Source organism: Homo sapiens, chromosome 9, assembly GCF_000001405.40.
Source record: "Homo sapiens chromosome 9, GRCh38.p14 Primary Assembly".
Taxonomy (NCBI): domain Eukaryota; kingdom Metazoa; phylum Chordata; class Mammalia; order Primates; family Hominidae; genus Homo; species Homo sapiens.
The window spans coordinates 68,305,907-68,331,004 of NC_000009.12; the positions used below are offsets into that span (position 1 = coordinate 68,305,907).

Sequence of the window (25,098 nt, forward strand, 5' to 3'; positions counted from 1 at the left end):
CTAAGAGTTTGGAAACAAACTGAGAATAGAGGGGTCCTATTTCATGCCAGGTTCTCGCTGGTTTACATTCCAACTCCCCTCTGTCCGTTGTGCGAAAACGTCTCCAGGCCGACCTTCATTCATTTATTGTCAACAAACGTCCTGGGAGAGCGGCTACAGCCGGCCGCTGAACCCAGAAGGGACTTTCTCTAGGCTTTCTTGGCACCCTCCCAATTATCTTCCTTCTCTTGCCCGAGGGCAGACCAACACAGCTACGAACATGGGTGACTGAGGGTCAGACCCCTTCCCGGAACCGCCTCCAAGCTCCTAATTTTTGCCTAATGTTAAACCATATCCAAAGATGAATATTTAAACAATCAATTCAGTGGCGGAGTAAATTAAACGTTATTCTCCGATCAAACAGGAGCTTCGGGTCCACCTGTTTGGAAGCACCCAGGCAGCTTGGAGAGGTCCGGCCTTCGGGTGCGACCCGCAGGGGTTGCCCTGCCCGGTTCGCGGAACGGACGTTTACCTGTCGCAGCTACGAACCCACCAACGACACCAAGCACTTGCCGGGCAGACCAGGCGTCGTGGAGGCGCCCCAGCCCCCCCAACTCCCCCGCAACGACGCGTCCCAGGGGTGCGTAGTGCTTGGCGCGGTGACCAGACCTGGCCGCCTTCCTGACTGCACAGAGCAAGAGGCCACACTCTGGATCCCAGGCCGGGTCCCTGTGGTTCTGGGAGGGAGGTCCCGGATGCCTCCCAGATCTCGGGCTTCTGTAACCCTGAGGCTGGGTTTTAAAATCACGGCTCTTCCAAGTTACACGAAGAGTCCATGGTCAAGGGTCAAGGGTGGTCTTCGACCCTCGGGATCGTCTTCTTGAGAAATGGCTGAGAGCTAAGCCTAGAGCTGCCCAGGGAAGGAAGCCAAAGAGCTGGAGCCGAGCGCGAAGGGCTGGGAGGCGCGGGGAGGCCCCTTACCCCCGCCCCCCCCCCCCACACTGTCCTGGCCGCTAATAACGCTGATAATAGTAACAGTATCGGCCAACTGTTTCCCCCCTGCTCCTGGTCTGCCAGGCACCGGATCCTCCTTTAGCACTCCCAGCACTCACTGAAGAAGACACTATGGAATTCTCCGTTTTCCAGACTAGAAATAAGTAACTCGGAGAAATTAAGAAACTCGCCCGACGACCCTCAGGCAGTAGCACCTGGCCAGGTTTGCTTTCTGAACCACTAACTCCACTCGCGCACGCCACCTTTCCTGCCTGGGCCTCTTGCGGGTCGCAGGGGTGGAAGCCTGACCTGGGCCAGGGCCCGGATTTCTTCCTCCTGGCCTCTGTCCCACCGCCCCCGGTGCCAGGAAGCGCTTTTCTCTCCCCGAGACCCAGACGCGCCGAAAGACTCGCGCGGTCAGTTCCCTACCCCACGCCCTGGGCTGTGCGTTTTCTTGCAAGCCTCTGCCGAGTGCGGGGAACGGCGCCGCCAGACTCCCCCAGACCGCGCTCCGGCTCACGCCTGACTAGAGCACTCTGCTTCACAGAGGGGCGTTCTGCGCGTTCTTCCTCCCTGGTGTGATTTTCGTTCTTTTTCCTCTCATGGTCCCCAAGAACCCAGGCACCCCTCGACGTAGGTGCCGGCGGTACCGGGAATCCCTCCCCTGGACTCCCTGCGGGCCCGAAGCCACCTTCTAATCCCAGCCGCCTTCCCAAGGCGGCGGAGGTGGGCAGCTCCGGGCTCCGCGCCGCCCCGCGAAGCCGGAATTTCTCTTCGGAGTCTTGATACAGCTCTCCACTTCGTCGCCCCGCACTGGATCCTGGTAGCGTGAAACTTGCCCAGGAAGCTGGGCTGCGCTGGCCTGGGGTGAAGGTCCAAGAGACGAGGGGGCCGGGACGCGGGGCTGTCGCAACGACTGGCCCTCTGCGAACCCTCAGGCCAGCAGGTTCGGGACTATAGGAGTGGGAGTGGAGGTGGTGGCCACTGGAGAGTAGAGAGAACGTCCAGGAACCGGTGGACTAGGGGTCCCCGGCGGCTGGCCGAGGGTTGCAAGCAGAGGGGACTATCGGTTGCCAGCAAGTCCCAAGCAGATGCCTTCTGGCAGGGCAGTCACATTCTACAGTGCCGATTCTGTGTACATTGAGTATCCAAAATGAATAAAATCTGTTTATACATTGGAATGTAGCTTATGATTCCAAAATCTCATCTCCAGGCTGCCTAGATCACACGGCCCCGTTTCATTCATTTTTACTTAATAACGGTCGTTAGACAATTTAGAGAAACAGCAGAAACCACGAGAAAAATAATGGAATCAAACGGCGATAAGGACTAACAAGGCTGGCGGGGAGATTTAGCAAATGGTGGCTTCTGAGAGTTTGCACCAGTCCTTCACCACATTTTATTGGAAGTGTGGAGAGTCATGATTCTCATTCCTCCCCAGCCTTCCGGAAAAATGCTCAGAAATTTCTTTCCACATTGACACCTGATTACAGTCTAAATAGTAACCTTATTCTGACTGTTAATGTAACCTTCTCGTAATTTCTACAAAAATACTTTAGTTTTTCTAGCTGTGTTTTCATGTAATCACTGAAATTATTTTTAATTGGTTTTAAGCATTCATTGATTCCATATACACCACCTGCAAAAAAGTTACATAGGTGATCGCTAACAATACTAGAATTCGCCCCATCCAAAGGAAACATTAGAGTAGAAAAAGAAAAAGGATTTGAGAATCCAGTATGAAATTCAGTTAATCATTACTTCCCTGTTACTCAACTACCTTAACATTGTCAGGTTTACCTGAACATAAACTTCATTTTCTTAGTTGTTCTTAGAACGAAGGGATATGTTTATTGAAATCAGTAATTAAGAATATTTTGGGACAGTTATGATTTACTTAGCCAGTGAAGCAGTTTCTATTCCCAAATCCAGGCAAAGAGAACAATAAGATTAAACGTAGCCTAAGAGATTTCCTTTTTGTCAAATAATGTGATTTTGCTATGTATAGAGGAGATGTCTATATGTAAGGGCATATTTATGACCAGTAGTTCCTAAAATTAAGGGGACTATTATTGTGTTACTCAAGGTATCAGTTGTATAGGATACATTATGTCATATTTCAAACAATGTTTATAAAGAGATTAGTATAATTAACCTGTATGTACTTCTCCTCTGGGCCAACCTTGTGTCTTCTTTATCTGCTGACAGTCCCCTCCCCACTGAATTATTTTGAATCAAATCCCAGATAGTCTATCATTGTATTGTATTTTTGAATATTTCTCTAAAAGATAATAATTCCATCAATGAGACTGGATGCAGTGGCTCCTCCCTGTAATCCCAGCTCTTTGGGAGGCAGAGGTTGGAGGATCACTTTAGGCCAGGAGTTCAAGACCACCCTGAGCAACACAGCAAGACCCCATTTATAAAAAAGAAGATTCCCATCAATGTAACCACAATACCATTATCACACCTAAATAATCCATTAATAGCATCGGTTTATCCAGGCAATATTTAAATATCTTCAATTGTCTAAAAACTTTTTGTTTAGTTGGTTGGTTTGAATTAGAATGCTAATAAGGGTTACGTATTGTGTTTGGTTGATATGGGCTATTATATCTCTTTTAGATTTCCTCAATCCTCTTTTTTTGTTTCCCTTGCATTTTTTATGGGAGAAACTGAACTGTTTGTTCTGAAGAAGTTGACATTCTGAACTTTGTAGCTGCAGGTAATAGTTTTTTGGCAAGATATTCCCAGGGATAAGGTCGTTTATTCAGACTTTTGAATATTGGCAAATAATAATATTGTTTGTAGAGGGAGAAGGATTAGTCAAGATATTTTTAAGAATCAACTATTGAAAAAACAAATTTTTATCAGAGTAAGCATGGATCTGGTAAAGATTATGTGAAATTTTCCTAAATGCAAATACAATCTAAAATTGTAATGTCTTAAAATTAAAAAATAGATTATTTTCCATATATTTATAGAAATATAAATGATCAATCAACTATTTCACTGACAATTTTAAATCTAGTTTTATCTTGAGGAGAATAAAGTTTTTTATATCTTTAGTATTTTAGTTGAAGATCCAAAGACATTTTATGTTAAAACTTTAGGTTTTATATTGTTTTGTGTTTTAAAACATAAAATCTAAAATGTGGTAATATCCATGAGGTGCAGATAGAGTAATAGCACAAATTCTGTGTTCATGAAAATTCATTTTAGGATAACTTAATTAAAAGGACTCAGGATTTGAATGATATTAGATTAGACAGAAAAAAGTTCACCTGAGTGTAAGACATAAGTAATAAAAACCAAAGGTAGCTAACTTTTTTAGGCTTCTTCTTTCTTTAAAGAGTATGCATATGAAATAAAATTTCCATGTCAATGTCCATTTTTCCATGGTACATAGGGCTTCTATAATTTCGTCTATTTCATCCTGCAGTTATTTTCACGGGTTTCTGTGTCCACCACTATCTGGAATCTCTGAGATGGTGAAAACGAAATCTTATTCTTCTTTATATTTCAAACAATTCCTAGCACATTATCAAAAATACCTGATAAAATTTATTGTGTCTGTAATACTGGTAAGCATGTAAAAGGGTGGTAAATATATAGGCTTTAAGTTTAGATAGATCTAAATATTATTAAAATTACCAAATTATTGTTTTTAAAAAGTATTAGTTTCCTAGGACAAATAGAGATTTTTCGATAAGGCTGGATTTGTAATACTTTAAGCAACAGGTCACAGTGCTTAAGTATTTAATGCCGATTTGGCAAGCAGCTGATGTTTTACATAATGCTGTCGGGTATTTTATATTTGCGTGTATTTTCTGATGCACTGGATCCAGCACTTCATGTCACGTCATATATCTGTTTATAATATATACAAATGTATTTTCATATATATTTGATGTTTGATGGCTTTGAAACTTTAATCTTGAAATAGATTTTAAATTTTTATTAAAACTATTTAAATAATTACCATAAGGAAAGAGCTCTTATTAGTTGAAAGAAAATGTAGATTCATGTTTCCTTGGAGACTAGTCTAGTTTCCAAGGATAGACGGCAGTGAGGAGTTGGGTATCTAGATGGAATTTCTGTTGGTTTGGATTCCAGCTCTGCTGCTTACCAGCTTTGTGACCTCAGGCAAACAACTTAACCTCTCCAAGCCTCAATTTCCCCATCTATATAATGGTGATATTTATAAGTTTCACCTTATAGGGCCATGGTGGGGATCACATGAAATAGTGTATGTGAAGTGCTTAGCACAGTGCCTGGCACATACTCAATGCTCTATGCATGTCAGCTAGTACTTAATGATGCTAATAAACATGTTGTGTCCCTAAGCACGGGTGGAATCTTGCCTGACGTCCTTCTCTCTGCGTCCTGGTCAGTCTTCACATGGTGGGCCTCCTTTATTTCCGGTCACACACGGGTGGTACACAGAGCATGCTGTTTCTTTCCTGCCAGAAGGTTCCTGCTGCAGCTCTCCTGCTAGTTTAGCTTAGCCTTCTGGTTTGAGGGATGAGTCACATGTACCATCACTTCCCAGGACCAACAGGACCTTTCAGGAAAGCTATCCCTGCTTACACAGAGAATTGCCCTTGCCTAACACTGAAGCCTGGCAGAGTAACATGAAATAACCACAGCAATTCTAAAATTAGAATTAGCATGCCTAGAATAACAGGTATAACCTTCTCTTGTAGTTTATCACTTGCTTCATTTCTGCTCAGCCTAATTTTCACTTGATGTGTAGATTTATTTTTTGTTCACCCATCCAGAAAATGTTGACTGAGGAATTACTCTGTGTTAGGTGCTGTTGTAGGAGCAAGGGATACAATGATGATCAAGGCAGATGCAGCCGTTACCTTCAGGTTGTGGAGTCCGGATACAGACTGGAGGCAGGCAGCTGTAAGATGTGTGAGAAATGCTGCGCTGGATCAGCCCATGGTATAGGAGAGCAGGTAAGGAAGGGTGGGGACAGGAGCGGACAACCTGGAGGAAGAGGCACCTAAGCAGAGTCCGGAAGGCTGAGGAGGAGTCAGCAGGTAAAAGAGAGGGGAATCATGACATGACATCTCAACTGTAGGACACGGCTAGCTGGCTGACTTAGCTGCTGTAACACCGGATTTTTGCAAGACTCCCTGAGTATTTCTCGTGGACTTGCGAACAAATCTGAGCAAGAAAACCACGTAATTTCTTTTATGCCTTGCCCAAGAAAGCCACCTGGAGGGGCAAGGGGACCTTAGCAGAAAGAAGCTGGAGGTGGGGGGAGAACAGGGTGATATTACTCTCCATATGGTGGGGGGTGGACACCTCCCTGTCATATGGCTCGTAATATCCAGCGGGGGAGAGGGGGTTGACTTTCCCCTACGTTATTGGTAATATCACCCCCCTCTCTCCCGCTAAATATTAAGTACAATATCACAGGTGGGGTGTACACCCCCGGCGATGTTTGAAGTAATATCAACTTCTCCCCCTCTGGATGTTAGAAACAATATCACAGGGGGGTGTACACCCCCCTGCGATCCTGGGAGTAACATCATCCTCTTTCCCCCGGATATTAGGAACAATATCACGGGGAGGGGGGTGCACACCCCCTGCGATATTGAAAGTCATATCATCTTCTTTCTCCCCGGATATTAGGAACAATATCACAGAAGGTGTTTACAACTTTTGCAATGTTGGGAGTAATATCATCCTCTCTCACCCTAGATATTCAGAACAACATCACATGGGAATTGTACCCTTCTGTTTATTGAGAGTAATATCATCCTCTCCCTTTCTGTATATTAGAAACAATATCACAGAGGGCTGTGTACACCCCCAGGAATGTTTTGAGTAATATTATCCTCTCTCTGCCTGGATATTTGGAACAATATGACAGGAGTTGTGTACACCCACTGTGATATTCGGTTTAATATCAACTTCTATCCCCTGGATATTGGGAGTAATATCTATCTTTAGCCCCTGGATACTAGGGACAATATCACAGGAGGGGTGTATACACACGGCGCTATTGGGAGTAATATCATTTTCTCCACCCCTTGATATTAGGTACAATATAACAGTGGGGATGTGTACCCCCTGGGATATTGGGAGTAATATTAATCTCTTCCCCTGTGGATGTTAGGAACAATATCACAGAAGGGGTGTATACCCCCAGCGATATTGGGAGTAAGATCATCCTCTCCCAACTTGGATATTAGGAATAATATCACAGGGGAAGTGTATAACCACTGCGATATTGTGAGTAATATCATCCTCTCCCAAAATGGAGATTAGGAACAATATCACAGGAAAGGTGTACACCTCTTCTGATATTTGTGGTAATATCATCTCCTCCCCTCATTGATATTAGGAAAGATATCACAAGGTGTGTACAGCCCCTGCGATATTGGGAGTAATATTATTCTCTCTTCCCCTGGATATTAGAAATAATATCACAGGCGGAGTGTACAGCAAACCCCCTGCGATATTGGGGGTAATATCATCCTCTTTTAACCTGGATATTAGGAACAATATCACAGGGGGCTTGTACACTTCTTTTGACACTGGGAGTAATATCATCCTCTCCACAAGTAAATAGTAGGAAAAATATCAAAGAAGGTGTGTACACCGCTTGTGATATTGGGAGTAATATCATCCTACCTCACCTGGATGTTAGAAAAAATATCGGGGGGCGTTTACACCACCTGCGATATTGGGAGTAATATGATTTTCTACCCCAGTGGATATTTAGAACAATATCACAGGGGCAGTGTACACCCTCTGAGATATTGCGAGTAATATCGTTCTCACCCCGCCGCCCCCACCCCAGATATTAGGAACAATGTAACAGGCAGATTATACACCTGCTGCAACATTGAAAGTAATATCATCCTTTTCCCCCTGGATATTAGGAACAATATCTTATGGGGGGTTTACAGCCCATTCCATTTTGGGAGTAATATCAACTTTTCATTGCTGGAAATAAGAAACAATATAGCAGTTCTGGTGTACACACCCTGTGATATGGGCAGTAATATCATAGACTCTCCCCCGGCATATTAGGAACAATATCAGAAAGGGGTGTATACCCACAGCGATTTTGGGATTAATATCATACTCTCCCCCCTGGATATTAGGAACCATATCAAAGAAGGAGTGTCTACCCCTTGCGATAGTGACAGTAATATCATCCTCTCCCTCCCTGGATATTAAGAACAATACCACAGAATTGGCGTACACCCACTACGATCATGGGAGTAATGTCATCCTCTAACCCCTGGATATTAAAAACAATATCACAGAGGAGGTGTACACCCCTCGCGATATGGCCAGTAACATCATCGTCTCCTCCACTGCGTATTAGGAACAATATCAAAGGGGTGTGTACACCTCCTGCGCTATTGGGAGTAATGTCATTCTCTTTTCCCCTGAATATGAGGAATAATATCACTGATGGGGTGTACAACTCCTACGATATAGGCAGTAATATCATCCTCTCCCAACCTGGATATTAGGAACAAAATAACAGGACATCTACACCCCCTGCGATACTGGGAATAATATCATCCTCTCTCCCACTTAATATTAGAAACCGTATCCCAGGAAGAGTGTAAACCCTCTGAGATATTGAGAGTAATATCATCCACTCCCTACCTAAATATTAAAAACAATGTCACGGGAGGGGTGTACACCCCTACAATATTGGGAGTAATATCATCCTCTCCCTCCCGAGATATTAGAAACAATATAAAAGGGGTCGCGTACACCCCCTGTGATATTGGGAGTAATATCATTCTAATCCCCCCTGGATATTAGGAAGAATATTATACAGGGGATGTACACCCCTTGACATATTGTGAGTCATATCATTTCTCTTCCCTTGGACAATAGGGACAACATCACGGGGGGGGGGGTGTCCCCTGTTATATTGAAATTATTATCATCCTCTCCCAAACTGAATATTAAAAACAACGTCACGGGGCTGCTGTGACCCCAGTAATATGGACAGTACTATCATTGTCTCCCTCCCTAAATATTAAGAACAGTATCACAAGAGAGGTGTACACCCCCTGCGATATGGCCAGTAATATCATCGTCTCTACCTTTGGATACTAGGAACAACATCACAGAGGGTGTGTACACCCCCTGCGATATTGGGCATAATGTTAGCCTCTCTTCCCCTGGATATAAGGAACAATATCCCTGGTCGGGGGAGGTGGAGTACATTAAGAACAATATCTGAAGGAGGTGGGTGTACACCCCCTGAGATATTGGGTGTAGTATCATCCTCTCTTTCCTAGGATACTAAGAACAATATCACAGGAGGGGTGTACAGCCCCTGCGATATTGGGAATAATATCACCCTATCCCCCTCTCGATATAAGGAACAATATCCCAGGGTGGGTGTACATCCCCTGCGATATTGGGCGTAATGTCATCATCTCCCAACGTGGATATTGGGAATAATGTCCCAGGGGGGTGTACACCTTCTTCGATATTGGGAGTAGTATCGTCCTCTCCCCTCGGGATTGTAGGCAAAATATGGAAGGGGTTTTACAGCTCATGCGATATGGGCAGTAATATCATCCTCTCCACCTAGATATTAGGAACTATATCACAGGCGGCTGTACACTTGTTACGATATTGGGAGTAATATCATCCTCTCCCATCATGGATATTAAGAACAATATTCCAAAGGAGGTGTACACCCCCTGCGATACTGAGAGTAATATTATGCTCTCCCCTTCGGGATATTAGGAACAATATCGCAGGAGGTGTGTATAACCCCTGTGATATTGGGAGTGATATCGCCTTCTCCCCCTGAATATAAGGAACAATGTCACAGGAGGATGTACACCCCCTGGGATATTGGGAGTAATATGATTTTCTCCCCCTCGAGATATTCGGAACAATATCACAATGGGTGTGTACAGCCGCTGCGACATTGCCACTGGTATCATCCTCTCCCTCCCAGGATATAAGGAACAATGTCACAAGGGGTGTACACCTCCTGCGATATTGGGGGTAATATCTTCCCCTCCCCCGCTGGCCATTAGGAACAATGTCACAGAAGAGGTGTCCACTCCCTGCTACATTGGGAGTGAGATCATCCTCTCTGTCCCTGGATATTAGGAACAATATCCCTAGGGAGTGTACACCTCCTGCAATATTGAGACTAACATCATCCTCTTGCCCCCTGGATATTAGGATCAATATCACAGGGGTGGTGTACATCCCCTGCGAAACTGGAAGAAATATCATCCTCTCCACCTTTGGATGATAGGGACAATATCACGGGGGAAGTCTACGCCCCCTGCGGTATTGGGAGTCATATCATCCTCTCCCACCCACGATATTAGGAAAAAAGATGACCGAAGGGATGTATACACACTGCGATATTTTTCATAATGTCATCCTCTACTCCCTGGCAATTAGGAATAACATCATAGAGGGGTGTACACTTTCTGTGATATTGGGAGTAACATCCTCTACCCCTCGGATATCGGGAACAATTGTATTAAGTATTAATATTCATAAATATAATAACAATTAATAGAAATCATCGATATAAATAATTACTATAAAGATAGTAAAAGTTAATACGGATTAAAAATATTAATGTTTACTATTAATAATTAACAGCAACCTCACTATTAATAATAACATAATGATATCGGTAATTAATGTTACTTAATTAAATCAATAAGTGATGTTGGTAATAAAACAATAATTAATATTAAGGTTAATAACGAATATTGAAAAATGACAATACTAATAATTAATTTTAACCATGCATAATCATATTTAAAATAATCATTAATGATTAATAACGTTATACTATTAATTAATATTACCATTGATAATTATTAAGACTGATGTTTAATAATTAGTAATATTATTAAGACTGATGCTTAATAATTAATCATATTATTTCTCCTAATACCGTAGGGGGTGTACACCTACCTGTGATATTGTTCCTAATATCCAGGGATGGAGAGCATGATATTAGTTTTAATATCTCAGTAGGTGTACACTCACCCTGTGACACTGATCCTAATATCCAGGGGATAGAGCATGACATGACTCCCAACATAGCAATTAATGTACAGCCACCCGGTGATATTGCTCCTAATATTCACGGAAGAAGAGTATGATATTACTCCCAATATCGCAGGGAGTGTACACCTCTTCTGTGACATTGTTCCTGGTATCCCGCCGGGGAGAGGATGATAAAAATTAAAGTATCGCAGGCTGTGTTCACTCACCCTGTGATATTGTTATAAATATCCTGAAAGGGAGAGGACGATATTACTTCCTATAACAGATAGATATTACTCTCCATAATAGAGCAGGAGGTGTACACCCACCGTGTGATACTGTTCCTAATATTCAGAGGCAGAGAGGTCGATATTACTCTCAATATCGCAGGAAGTGTACACCCCCGTGTGAGATGGTCCTTAATAATATTCCAAGGCAGAGGGGGTGATATTACTACATTTATCGCAGAAAGTGTACACCCCCCCCCAGGGATGTTGTTCCCATGATCCTGGAGAGAAGAGGATGATATTAGTTTAAATATGACAGAAGGTGTACACGCCCCAACTGATATTGTTTCTAATTTCAGTGTAGGAGAGGAGGATATGACACCCAATATCGCAGGGAGTAGAAACACACCTGTGATACGGTTCTTAATATTCAGGGTGGAAGAGGATGATATTACTCTCAATACAGACGGGTGTACAACCTGCACACCGAGGGTGTACACCCATCTGTCAAACAGCACATAATTTCCAGAGGGGGAGATATTACCCCCAATATAGTAAACAGGCTGTGAGTCCACCGTGGATCGTAATAACTCGGGGGGGGAGAGGAGGTGGCTCTTACTCCCCATATCGCGGGGGGTGCCTCACCCCACTGCGAGGTGGATCATAATAGCGAGGGGGGGGGAGAAGGGGTGGCTGTTACTACCCATATCGCGGAGGGTGCCTCACCCCCGACATGTGGATCGTAATAAATAGCCGGGGGGGGGGGAAGGGGGTGGCTCTTACTCCCCATATCTCAGGGGGTGCCTCACACCCCTGCAATGTGGATCATAATAAATAGCTGGGGGGGAAAGGGGGTGGCCCTTACTCCCCATACCGCGGGGGGTGCCTCAACCCCTGCGATGTGACCTGTGTCCGTTGTGAGCATTCTCTTTTTTCCTGCTATTAGGAACAATTTCACAGAGTGTGTGTACACAGCCTGCGATATGAAAACTAATATCCTCTGCACCTCCGCATATACGGACCATATCACACAATGGGTGTACACTTTTTGCGGCATTTGGGGTCATGTCATCCTGTGTTTCCCTAAATAGTCGGGGAAATATCACAGGCCTATTCGGAGGCACATCCTACTTTTGCTACTGGAAATTAGGAGTAATATCACAGATGGGGTGTAAAGCCGCTGTCATATTTGAAGTAATATCATGCTCTCCCCCACTAGTTGTGACGCACAGTATCACAGGGGGTATATACCTTCTGCGGTATTGGGAGTAATATCATCATCTCTTCCTTTACATGATAGGAACAACATCAGAGACGGGGTGTACACCCCGTGTGTTTTTGAAAGCAATGTCATTCACTCTTCTTCTAGATTTTACGATTCATATCACAGGCGGGGTGTGCACCCCTTCTTATATTGGGAGTCATCGGATCCTTTTTCAAGCTGTATATTTAGAACAATATCCCATGGGGCTGTACATGTCTTCGATACTGGTCGTAATATCATCTTGTCCTTTCCTGGATACAAGAAAAAATATCACAGACGAGGTGTACACCCCTTGTAATATTGGGAGTAATATCACCTCTCCCCATGTGGTTATTAAGGACAAAATCACAGGGTGGTGTACAGTTCCTACTTTATTGAGAGTAATATCATCCACTCACCCCCTGGATATCAGGAGCCATATCACAGAAGAGTTGTACACCCCCTTCGATATTGTCAGCAATATCACCATCTTCCCACCTAGATATTAGGAACAATACCCCGGGGGGCTTGGGGGTGTACACCCACTGCGAGATCCAGAGTAATATCAGCCTTTTCCCGCTGGATATTAGGAAGTATATCACAGGTGTGTGTGCATCTTCTGCGATATTGGGAGTAATATCAGCCTCTACCCCGCTGCATATTAGGAACAATATACGGGGGGCGTGGGGGTTACACTCCCTGCGATATTGAGAGTAATGTTATTCTCTTCTCCCTGTACATTAGGAACCATTTCCGGGGTCGTGGGGGTTACGCTCCCTGCGATATTGAGAGTAATGTTATTCTCTTCTCCCTGTACATTAGGAACTATATCACGGGGTCTGTACACCTTCTGCCATGTTGGGATTAATGTAATCCTCTCCCCCCACTGAATATCAAAAACAATATCACAGACGGGCGTACACCCTCTGCGATATGGCCAGTAATATCATCGTCTCTACCTTTGGATACTAGGAACAACATCACAGAGGGTGTGTACACCCCCTGCGATATTGGGCGTGATATTAGCCTCTCTTCCCCTGGATATGAGGAACAACATCCCTGGTCAGGGGAGGTGGAGTACATTAAGAACAATATCTGAAGGAGGTGGGTGTACACCCCCTGAGATATTGGGTGTAGTATCATCCTCTCTTTCCTAGGATACTAAGAACAATATCACAGGAGGGGTGTACAGCCCCTGCGATATTGGGAGTAATATCATCCCCTCCCCCTCTCTATATAAGGAACAATATCCCGGGGTGGGTGTACATCCCCTGCGATATTGGGCGTAATGCCATCGTCTCCCAACGTGGATATTGGCAATAATGTCCCAGGGGGTTGTACACCTTCTTCGATATTGGGAGTAGTATCGTCCTCTCCCCTCGGGATTGTAGGCAAAATATGGAAGGGGTTTTAAAACTCATGCGATATGGGCAGTAATATCATCCTCTCTCCCCCTAGATATTAGGAACTATATCACAGGCGGCTGTACACTTCTTGCGATATTGGGAGTAATATCATCCTCTCCCATCATGGATATTAAGAACAATATTACCAAAGAGGTGTACACCCCCTGCGATATTGACAGTAATATTTGGCTCTCCCCTTCGGGATATTAGGAACAATATCGCAGGAGGTGTGCACAACCCCTGCGATATTGGGAGTCATATCATCCTCTCCCCCTGAATATAAGAAACAATATCACGGGAGGATGTACACCCCGTGCGATATTGGGAGTAATATCATTTTCTCCCCCTCGGGATATTCGGAACAATATCACAGTGGGTGTGTACAGCCGCTGCGACATTGTCACCAGTATCATCCTCTCCCTCCCAGGATATAAGGAACAATGTCACAAGGGGGCGCACACCCCCTGCGATATTGGGGGTAATATCTTCCTCTGCCGCGCTGGCTATTAGGAACAATGTCACAGAAGGGGTGTCCACTCCCTGCTATATTGGGAATGAGATCTTCCTCTCCATCCCTGAGTATTAGGAACAATATCCCTAGGGAGTGTACACCTCCTGCAATAGTGAGACTAAGATCATCCTCTCGCCCCCTGGATATTAGGATCAATATCATAGGGGTGGTGTACACCCCCTGCGAAATTGGAAGAAATATCATCCTCTCCACCTTTGGACGTTAGGGACAGTATCACGGGGGATGTCTACGCCCCCTGCGATATTGGGAGTCATATCATCCGCTCCCACCCAGGACATTAGGAACAAGATGACTGAACGGAGGTACACCCGCAGCGACATTTTCAATAATGTCATCCTCTACATCCTGGCAATTAGGAGAAACATCATAGAGGGGTGTACACTTTCAGCGACATCGGGAGTAATATCCTCTCCCCCACAGATATCGGGAACAGTTATATTAATTATTAATATTAATAAATATATTAATAATTAATAGTAATCATCGATATTAATAATTGCAATAGAGATAGTAAAAGTGAATATGGATGAAAATATTAACAATTACTATTAATAATAGCAATATCACTATTAATAATAAAATAATGATATTATTAATCAATGTTACATAAATCAGTCATAAGTGATGTTGGTAATAAAACAATAATTAATATTAAGATTAATAACTAATATTATTGAAAAATGACATTAATACAGATAATTTTAATCATGCATAATTGTACATTTAAAATAATCATTAATGATTAATAACGTTATACTATTAATTAATATTACCATTGATAATTATTAAGACTGATGTTTAACAATTAATAATATTATTAAGATTGATGCTTAATAATTAATCGTATTATTTCTCCTAATACCGCAGGGGGTGTACACCTACCCGTGATATTGTTCCTAATATCCAGGGATGGAGAGCATGATATTAGTTTTAATATCTCAGTAGGTGTACACTCACCCTGTGACACTGATCCTAATATCCAGGGAGTAGAGTATGACATGACTCCCAACATAGCAATGAATGTACAGCCACCCGGTGATATTGCTCCTAGTATTCACGGAAGAAGCGTAGGATATTACTTCCAAAATCGCAGGGAGTGTACACCTCTTCTGTGATATTGTTCCTGGTATCCCGAGGGGGAGAGGATGATAATAATTCCAGTATCGCAGGCTGTGATCACCCACCCTGTGATATTGTTATTAACATCCTGAAAGGGAGAGGATGATATTACTCCCCGTAATAGATAGATATTACTCCCCATAACAGAGCAGGAGGTGTACACCCACCCTGTGATATTGTTCCTAATATTCAGAGGCCGAGAGGTCGATATTACTCCCAATATGGCAGGAAGTGTACACCCCCGTGTGAGATGGTCCTTAATAATATTCCAAGGCGGAGGGGGAGATATTACTCCCAAAATCGCAGAAAGTGTACACCCCCAGGGATATTGTTCTCATGATCCTGGAGGGAAGAGGATGATATCACTTTAAATATCACAGAAGGTGTGCACGCCCCCACTGATATCGGTTATAATTTCCACGTGGGAGAGGAGGATGTGACGCCCAATCACACCTGCAGTAGAAACACAGCTGTGATACTGTTCTTAATATTCAGGGAGGAAGACGATGATATTACTCCCAAAACAGACGGCTGTACACCCTCTGCACACCGAGGGTCTACCCCCATCTGTGAAATAGTTTATAATTTCCAGAGGGGGAGATGATATCACTCCGAATATCGTAAACAGGCTGTGAGTCCACCGCGGATCCTAAAAACCAGGGAGGGAAGAGGGGCTGGCACTTACTCCCCGCATCGCGGGGGGTGTCTCAACCCCTTGCGATGGGGGTCCTAAGAGCCAGGGGGGGAAGAGGGGCTGGCTATTACACCCCGCATCAAGGGGGGTCCCGTCGATGGGGGTCCTAAGAGCTAGTGGGGGAAGAGGGCCTGGCTCTTATTCCCCGACTCGCGAGGGATGCCTCCCCCCTCTGCTATGGGGGTCCCAAGAGCCACAGGGGAAGAGGGGCTGCCTCTCAGTCCCCGCCTCGCGGGGGGTGCCTCCTCCTCCTGCGATGGGGGTCCTAAGAGCCAGGGGGGGAAAGGAGCTGGCTCGCAGTCCCTGTCTCGCGGGGGGTGCCTCCCCCCACTGCGATGGGGGTCCTAAGAGCCGGGGGGGGAAGAGGGGCTGGCTCTCAGTCCCCGCCTCGCGGGAGGTGCCTCCCCCCACTGCGATGGGGGTCCCAAGAGCCAGGGAGGGAAGAGGGGCTGGCTCTCAGTCCCCGCCTCGCGGGAGGTGCCTCCGCCCCTTCCGATGGGGGTCCCAAGACCCAGGGAGGGGAGAGGGGCTGGCTCTCAGTCCCCTCCTCCCGGGGGTACCTCCTCCGCCTGCGATGGGGGTCCCAAGAGACAGGGGGGGAAGAGGGGCTGGCTCTCAGTCCACGCCTCGTGGGGGATGCCTCCCCCCCCTGCGATTGGGGTCCCAACAGCCAGCGGGGGAAGAGGGGCTGGTTCTCAGTCCCCGCCTCGCGGGGGATGCCTCCCCGTGCTGCGATGGGGGTCCTAAAAGCCAGGGGGTGAAAAGGGGCTGGCTCTCAGTCCCCACCTCGCGAGGGGTGCCTCTCCCCCCTGCGATAGGTGTCCTAATAGCCAGGGGGGGAAGAGGGGCTGGCTGTCAGTCCCCACCTCGCGAGGGGTGCCTCTCCCCCCTGCGACAGGTGTCCTAATAGCCAGGGGGGGAAGAGGGGCTGGCTGTCAGTCCCTGCCTCGCGGGTGGTCCTTCACCCCGCTGCGATGGGGGTCCTAAGAGCAAGGGGGGGAAGTGGGGCTGGCTCTCTGTCCCCGCCTCGCCGGGGGTGCCTCGCACCCTTGCGATGGGGGTCCTAAGAGCCAGTAGGGGAAGAGGAGCTGGCTCTCAGTCACCTCAGCATGGAGGGCCTTTCTGTTCTGGTTTTGCCCAAGAGTAAGCTTATTTGCATCTGGTTCTAGCAAGGGAATTGCTGCGAAGGCCCTCAAACAGGGGGGCCATCCTTTCGAATCCCTATCTAGTTGTTTAGAGATGTAGGCCACCGGCCTCAGCCAAGGCCCCACAGTTTGGGTTAAAAGTCCAGCTGCCATCTTTTCTCTCTGACGCATACAATGGAAAAGGCTTTGTGAGATCGGGTAGCCCCTCGGCTGGGGCTTTCAGAAGTTTTTCCTTTAAGTCATGAAAGACTTGCTGTTGTTGGAATCCCCATTCCAAAAGTTCCCGGTCCCCGCCCCCATTGTGACCTCATACAAAGGCTTGGCTAATACTGCAAAGTTTGGGATTCCCAGTCTACAAAACCCCACAGCTCCTAGGAATTCTCTCACCACCCTTGTGCCTTTAGGCTTCGGTAGATTGCAAATGACCTGCTTTCTTTCGGATCCCGGGCTGCTTTCGGACACCTGTCGAATAGTAAATCCCAAGTAAGGTACCTGCGGTCGTCGGCAGATCTGAATTTTCTTCTTGGACACCTAATACCCACAGCCCTCCAGGTCGGTCCTAAGGATCTTAGAATCCGCGATGGGGGTCCTAAGCCACGGGAGGAAGAGGGACTGGCTCTCAGTCCCCGCCTCGCGGGGTGTGCCTCCCCCGTGTGATGGGGATCCTCAGAGGTGGGCGGGGAAGAAGGGCTGGCTCTTAGACACCGCCTCGCGGGGGGTGCCTCCCCCGCCTGCGATGGGGGTCCTAAGAGCCAGGGGGGAAAGAGCGGCTGGCTCTCAGTCCCCGCCTCGCGGGGGGTGCCTCCCCACCTGCTATGGGGGTCCTAAGAAAAATGGAGGGAAGAGGGGCTGGCTGTCAGTCCCCGCCACGCGGGGGGTGCCTCTCCCCCTGCGATGGGGGTCCCAAGAGCCAGGGGGGGAAGAGCGGCTGGCTCTCAGTCCCCGCCTCGCGGGGGGTGCCTCCGCCCCCTGCGATGGGGGTCCCAAGAGCCAGGGAGGGAAGGGGTCCCAAGAGCCAGGGGAGGAAAAGCAGCTGGCTCTCAGTCCCCGCCTCGCGGGGGGTGCCTCCACCCTGCGATGGGGGTCCCAAGAGCCAGGGGGGGAAGAGCGGCTGGCTCTAATTCCGCGCCTCGCGAGGGGTGCATCCCCCCACTGCGATGGGCGTCCTAAGAGCCAGGGAGGGAAGAAGGGCTGACTCTGAGTCCTTGCCTCGCGGGGGGTGCCTCACCCCCTGCGATGGGGATCCTAAGAGCCACGGGGGAAGAGGAGCTGGCTCTCAGTCCCCGCCTCGCGAGGGGTGCCTCCTCCCCCTGCGATGGGGGTCCTAAGAGCCAGGAGCGGAAGAGGGGCTGGCTCTCTGTATCCACCTCGCGGGGGGTGCCTCCCCGCCCTGTGATGGGTGTTCTAAGAGCCAGAAGGCTTAGGGGGGCTGTCTCTCAGTCCCCGCCTCGCGGGGAGTGCCTCCCCTTCCTGCGACGGGGGTCCTAAGAGCCAGGGGGGGAACAGGGGCTGGCTCAGTCCCCGCCTTGCGGGGGGTGGCTCGCTCCCCTGCGATGGGCATCCTAAGAACCAGGGGAGGAAGAGGGGGAGAGGATGATAATAATTTCAGCATCGCAGGCTGTGTTCACCCAGCCTGTTAAATCGTTATTTATATCCTGAAAGGGAGAGGATGATATTACTCCCCGTAATAGACAGATATGACTCCCCATCGTAGAGCACGAGGTGTACACCCGCCCTGTGATTTTCTTCCTCATATTCAGAGACCGAGAGGTTGATGTCACTCCCAATATCGGAGGAAGTATACACCCCCGTGTGAGATGGTCCTTAATAATATTCCACGGCGGAGGGGGTGATATGACTACATACATGGCAGAAAGTGGAAACCTCCCAGGGATATTGTTCCCACGATCCTGGAGGGAAGAAGATGATGTTACTTTCAATATGACAGAAGGTGGATGAAGTGGTGGACTGCCCCTCCACACCTGTGAGTATTTCTAGTTGGGTGGGTGGGAGGAGAGACTGAGAAAAGAAATAAGACACAGAGACAAAGTGTAAAGATACAACAGTGGGTCCAGGGGACCGGCGCTCAGCCCACCAAGGACCTGCACCGGCACCAGCCTCTGAGTTCCTTCAGTTTTTATTGATTATGATTTTCATTATTTTAGCAGAAAGGAATGTAGTAGGAGAGCAGGGTGATGATAAGGAGAGAGTCTGCAGAAGACATGTGAGCAAAAGAATCTATGTCATAATTAGGTTCAAGGGAAGGTACTATGACTGGACGTGCACGTAAGCCAGATTTGTTTCTCTCCACCCAAACATCTCAGTGGAGTAAAGAATAACAAGGCAGTGTTACTGCAAACATGTCTCGCCTCCCGCCACAGGGCAGCTTTTCCCCTGTCTCAGAGTTGAACGAATGTACAATCGGGTTTTACACCGAGACATTCAGTTCCCAGGGGCAAGCAGGAGATAGTGGCCTTCCTCCACCTCAGCTGCAAGAGGCTTTCCTCTTTTACTAATCCACCTCAGCACAGACCCTTTACGGGTGTCGGGCTGGGGGACAGTCAGGTCTTTCTCATCCCATGAGGCTATATTTCAGACTATCACATGGGGAGAAAGCTTGGACGATACCCTGCTTTCAAGGGCAGAGGTCCCTGCGGCTTTCCACAGTGCATTGTGCCCCTGGTTTATTGAGACTAGAGAATGGCGATGACTTTTACCAAGTATACTGCTGGTAAACATTTTGTTAACAAGGCACGTCCTGCACAGCCCTACATCCCTTAAACTTTGATTTTATACAACACATGTTTTTGTGAGCTCCAGGTTGGGTCAAAGTGGCTGGGGCCAAGCGGCTAGGGCAAAGCTACAAATTAACAACATCTCAGCAAAGCAATTGTTTAAAGGACAGGTCTTTTTCCAAATGGAGTCTCTTATGTCTTTCCTTTCTACATAGACACAGTGACAGTCTGATCTCTCTTTCTTTTCCCTACAGGTGGACACGCCCCCACTGATATTCCTTCTAATTGCAGCGTGGGAGAGGAGGATATGACACGCGATATCGCAGGGAGTAGAAACACCCCTGTGATACTGTTCTTAATATTCAGGGAGGAAGAGGATGATATTACTCCCAATACAGACGGGTGTACACCCTCTGTACACCGAGGGTGTACACCTGTCTGTGAAAGAGTTCTTAATCTCCAGAGGGGGAGATGATATTACTCACAATATGGTAAAGAGGCTGTGAGTCCACGGAGGATCCTCAGAGCCAGCGGGGGAAGAGGGGCTGGCTCTCAGTCCCCGCCTCGCGGGGGTGACTCCCCCCAGTGCGATGGGGGTCCTAAGAGCCAGTGGGGGAAGAGGGGCTGGCTCTGAGACCCCGCCTCGCGGGGGGTGCCTCCCCGCCCTGTGATGGGGGTCCCAAGAGCCAGAAGGCTTAGAGGGGCTGGCTCTCAGTCCCCGCCTCGCGGGGGGTGCCTCCTCCCCCTGCGATGGGGGTCGTAAGAGCCACTGGGGGAATAGGGGCTTGCTCTCAGTCACCGCCTCGCGGGGGGTGCCTCCTTTCCTTTCTACATAGACACAGTGACAGTCTGATCTCTCTTTCTTTTCCCTACAGATGGACACGCCCCCACTGATATTGTTTTTAATGCAGCGTGGGAGGGGAGGATATGACACGCGATATCGCAGGTAGTAGAAACACCCCTTTGATAGTGTTCTTAATATTCAGGGAGGAAGAAGATGATGTTACTCCCAATACAGACGGATGTACACCCTCTGTACACCGAGGGTGTACACCCGTCTGTGAAGGAGTTCGTAATCTCCAGAGGTGGAGATGATATTACTCACAATATGGTAAACAGGCTGCGAGTCCATCGCGGATCCTCAGAGCCAGGTGGGGAAGAGGGGCTGGCTGTCAGTCCCCTCCTCGCGGGGGGTGCCTCCCCCACTGCTATGGGGATCCCAAGAGCCAGTGGGGGAAGAGGTGCTGGCTCTCAGTCTCCGCCTCGCGAGGTGCCTCCCCACCCTGCGATCGGGGTCCGAAGAGCCAGGGGGGAAGAGGGGCTGGCTCTCTTCGTGGATGATTCTTTTTCCATTCTCAGGCAGTTTTCTTTTTTCTTTCTTTCTTTTTTTTTTTTTTGAGACTGAGTCTTGCTCTGTTGCCCATGCTTTGCTCGATCTCGGGTGACTGCAACCACTGCCTCCCAGGTTCAAGAGATTCTCCTGCCTCAGCCTCCTGAGTAGCTGGGACTAGAGGCGTGTGTCACCACACCCAGCTAATTTTTGTATTTTTAGTAGAGATGGGGTTTCACCATGTTTGCCAGGATGGTCTTTATCTCCTGCCCTTGTGATCCACCCACCTCAGCCTCCCAAAGTGCTGGGATTGCAGGTGCGAGCCACCGGGTCCAGCCTCTCAGGCGATTTTCATACCTGCATACTCTGATCACTACTCTGTTAAACAGTCAAGGAGGGTAAGTATTATCTTCAGATTTCCAGAGCTCTGTCTCTGTACAGCCCTCTCCTCCTCAATATTCTGCCCTATGAATTCTAGCCACATTGGCCTTCCCAGGCTCACAGTTCTGTCTTCTCAACTCAGGAAGATCTCTGAGTTCCATCTGCATTCTTTCTTCCTGTGCTGTGGCCTGGAAAGTTTTCTAAGGTGTTAGGGAGGTCAATTGTGGGGCTAGCCTCATTTGTTTCTCATCTCTTGAGGATCACTGCCCTTTGATGCTTGATTCCAGTGATTGATTCCCTTTGTTGCTTGAGGGCCATAGTTTCATATATTTTGTCCAGTAGTTTTGTTGTTTTAGGTCAGAAAGTAATTTTGGTCTCTGTTACTCTATCTTGGCCAGAAGTGTAAGACCTAAGCATTTACACATCAAAATACTGCACACATAATTTTAGTTTAAGCTACTTTTTAAAAAATCTCCTTCATTTTCCATTTAGCATTCTATTTAGGGTATTACATTGGTTTTTTTGAAATTCTGTTATTGGCAGTTTCTATTGCCTATCAATCCCATTTAAAGATAGTGCATAGGGTATTCTAAAATAGCTGTTAAGCAAAGAGAAAATTGGGCCTGATAGGGTGAGAATCACAGCTCTAATACCTAGAGTGACCTTATAATGTATTGTCCAAAGGAGATATTTTTGACAGTGAAAGAGGGTGTTGTTAGTAATTATATCAGGACCATGGCCTAAACCAGGACTATCCCAGGAAGCCTGGGACATATTTGTACCCCATCTCTATTTAATGCCTTTATACAATTCTTTACTTAATTCTACCAGCCTTTATTGAGCCTGCTTTCTTTGTCTAGCTGAGTGCCACGTGCTGACGTCACTAAGATCAATACAGCAAACTCTGAAAGATGGACAGAGAGACAGGAGATGGTCCTTTATAATGCAGTGTGATCTGTGCTGCAATAGAGGTGAGCACAAGGGCCTTACGAAGGTTCAGTGAAGAGCATGCTTGACTGCAGGGGAGGGTACTTAGGTTAGAAAAGATGAGTCGAAGTATGTTCATAGGGAGCATGAGATGAGAGGTGGTGGGAAAGGTATTCCAGACAGTGTGTGTCAAGGCCAAGAGCCAGGGGAACACAGGTAGGGCTTTTTTTTTTTCTTCTAAGATGGAAGAGTGTTCTGATTGGCTGGAAAACAATGCACATGGGAAGCTGTACAGAAATGAGTGGGGAAAGGTAATACTTAACAGCAACAGCAGTTAATATTTAGTGCCCACTTACGACATGCTGGACACAGTTCCGGGTACTCTGAACATATTCGCTCATTTAATCTTTACAACAACCCTATGAGGTAGGTACTATTATTATCCCCATTTTCAGGTGAGGAATCTGAGGCACAGAGAGAGTAAGTATGTTGCCCAGGGCCACGCACCAAGTATGTGGTAGGTCCTGGAGTTGAATGCAGAGCCCCTCCACTCTAAACTCCTGAAAGCCAGATGCTACAAGGCATTGTTATTCCAAGTGGAGGAATGCTAAGGACATCATCCTGCAGGTGACCAGGAAACCCTGAAGCATTCGAAGCAGGGGAATGGCTTAAAACAAGGTGGTATAGGAAAGTGCTCCCAGAGCAGCATGAAAGTCTGGTGTAGTGGAGGTCTCCGCTAGCCACAAGAGGTGGTAAGAGGCTGAGCTGAAGCAGCTGCAGCAGGGATGCAGAGGATACATTCCCCAAACCCTTATGGGCAGAGTCCTTTGGCTTCAGTGACCACGGCCAAGGGTGCAGAGGAGAAGCCCAAGAAGATGCCAGGTGTCTGGCTTATGCCCCTGTGTGAACGTGAAGCCTCTCATTGACATGCAGGTTACAGGAGGAAAAGCAGGTTTATTTGGGAAGGAGGCTTCTAGACCATGACTTCCATTTTAGCCATGTAGTTTTTGAAGTGCTTGTACAAGTTCTAGGTGGAAATGTCCAGGAGGCAGTGGGGAACTCAAAGTAGATCTCAGGAGAGAGGCTTAGGCCAGAGGGCTTGGGGAATCATCAGCATGGGGGTGGGAGGAGAGCTGGTATTTGGATGAGATTGCAGTGGAGCATGAACAGAGTGGGAAAAGGTGGTGATGAACCCAGGGACTCCAGTATGCGGTAGCTGGCTGTGAGATTAGGAAGCAATGAAGGAGGCCGAGAAGGATGTGGGGGAGAAGCATCAATAAGGAATAAATGAGTTGCACGTGCTCCAGAGAGGCCAGCTAAAGACTGGATTTGGCTCTCGCAGGTCATACACGAAAGAATCTTGGAACCAAAAGGAAAACTGTGGTGGTTTGAAGGGTATATTCAGTTTCTAGGTCTGCTGTCACAAAATACCAGAAACTGGGTGTCTTGTTAAAACAACAGAAATTTTTTCTCTCACAGTTTTGGAAGCTAGAAGTTCAAAACGAGGTGTTGGCAGCACCATGCTCTCTCTGAAGATGCTAGGAAGAATCTGCTCCATGCCTTTCCATTCGCTCCTGGGGTTTCCTGCAAGCCCTGACATTCCTTGGCTTGTAGATGCATCACCCCAGTTTCCGCCCCCATCATCACATGGCCTCCTCTCTGTGTGTGCCTCTGCGTTCCCTCTATTCTTCTTCTAAGGACACCGACACCAGTCATAGTGGATTAAGGGTCCACTCCTAACCAATTACATCTGCAACAACCCTATTTCCAAATAAAGTCACATTCTAAGATTCCTAGGGAGAACCTGAATTTTTGGGGGTGTGTGGATACTGTTCAACCTGGGATATGGAGTAAATAAATGGCAAGGAAGATTACAGATGACTTTAAGCTAAAGAGGGAGATAGGGTTAAATGTAGGACTTTTTTTTTTTCCAGGACGGGAGAGGTTTAAACATGTTACTACATTGAATAAATGAAATAATCACGGACATGGAGTGGCTAAAGATTCTGAACTAAGTGCAAGTAATTGATAGCGCAAGCTCCCAAGGGGCTGGGGCCTGGAGCGCAGGTGGATGGATCCACTGTGGGCAGAACTGGGGCGTGGGAGGGGTGTGCCGATGCAGATGTGTTTGAGTGTGGGGGGCCAGAAGCTGATTGGGGCGAAGCGTGACAGTGCAGCTCCAAGCACGCTGGAGGTGTTCACCAAGCAAATCAAGAGCAGATGGCAGAACAAGCAGCTGAAATAACAGCTTGTGAAATCAACCCTACTTTGTGGGGAGAGGATGAGTTAAGGATTCTAGCCATGAGAACCAAGAAGAGGAGGATAATCTGTTCATGCCTATTATGGGGCTTTGCGGGA

The 25,098-nt window shown here is 47.2% G+C and overlaps 2 long non-coding RNA genes and 1 pseudogene across 2 annotated transcripts; all 3 read left to right on the plus strand.

Moving 5' to 3' along the window:
* Window positions 1-625: 625 nt before the first annotated feature.
* LOC107987077 (uncharacterized) lies at window positions 626-5,918 on the plus strand. Its single transcript, XR_001746700.1, has 3 exons — window positions 626-1,918; window positions 3,692-3,697; window positions 5,786-5,918. It is a non-coding gene; the product is annotated as an uncharacterized LOC107987077 (long non-coding RNA).
* Window positions 5,919-16,557: 10,639 nt separating this feature from the next.
* LOC124902323 (putative uncharacterized protein FLJ45355) lies at window positions 16,558-17,930 on the plus strand (annotated as a pseudogene).
* Window positions 17,931-17,947: 17 nt separating this feature from the next.
* LOC101929800 (uncharacterized) lies at window positions 17,948-24,530 on the plus strand. The gene is made up of 7 exons (XR_007061561.1): window positions 17,948-18,000; window positions 18,040-18,396; window positions 18,648-19,351; window positions 20,357-20,593; window positions 20,978-21,048; window positions 22,674-22,784; window positions 24,220-24,530. It is a non-coding gene; the product is annotated as an uncharacterized LOC101929800 (long non-coding RNA).
* Window positions 24,531-25,098: the final 568 nt, after the last annotated feature.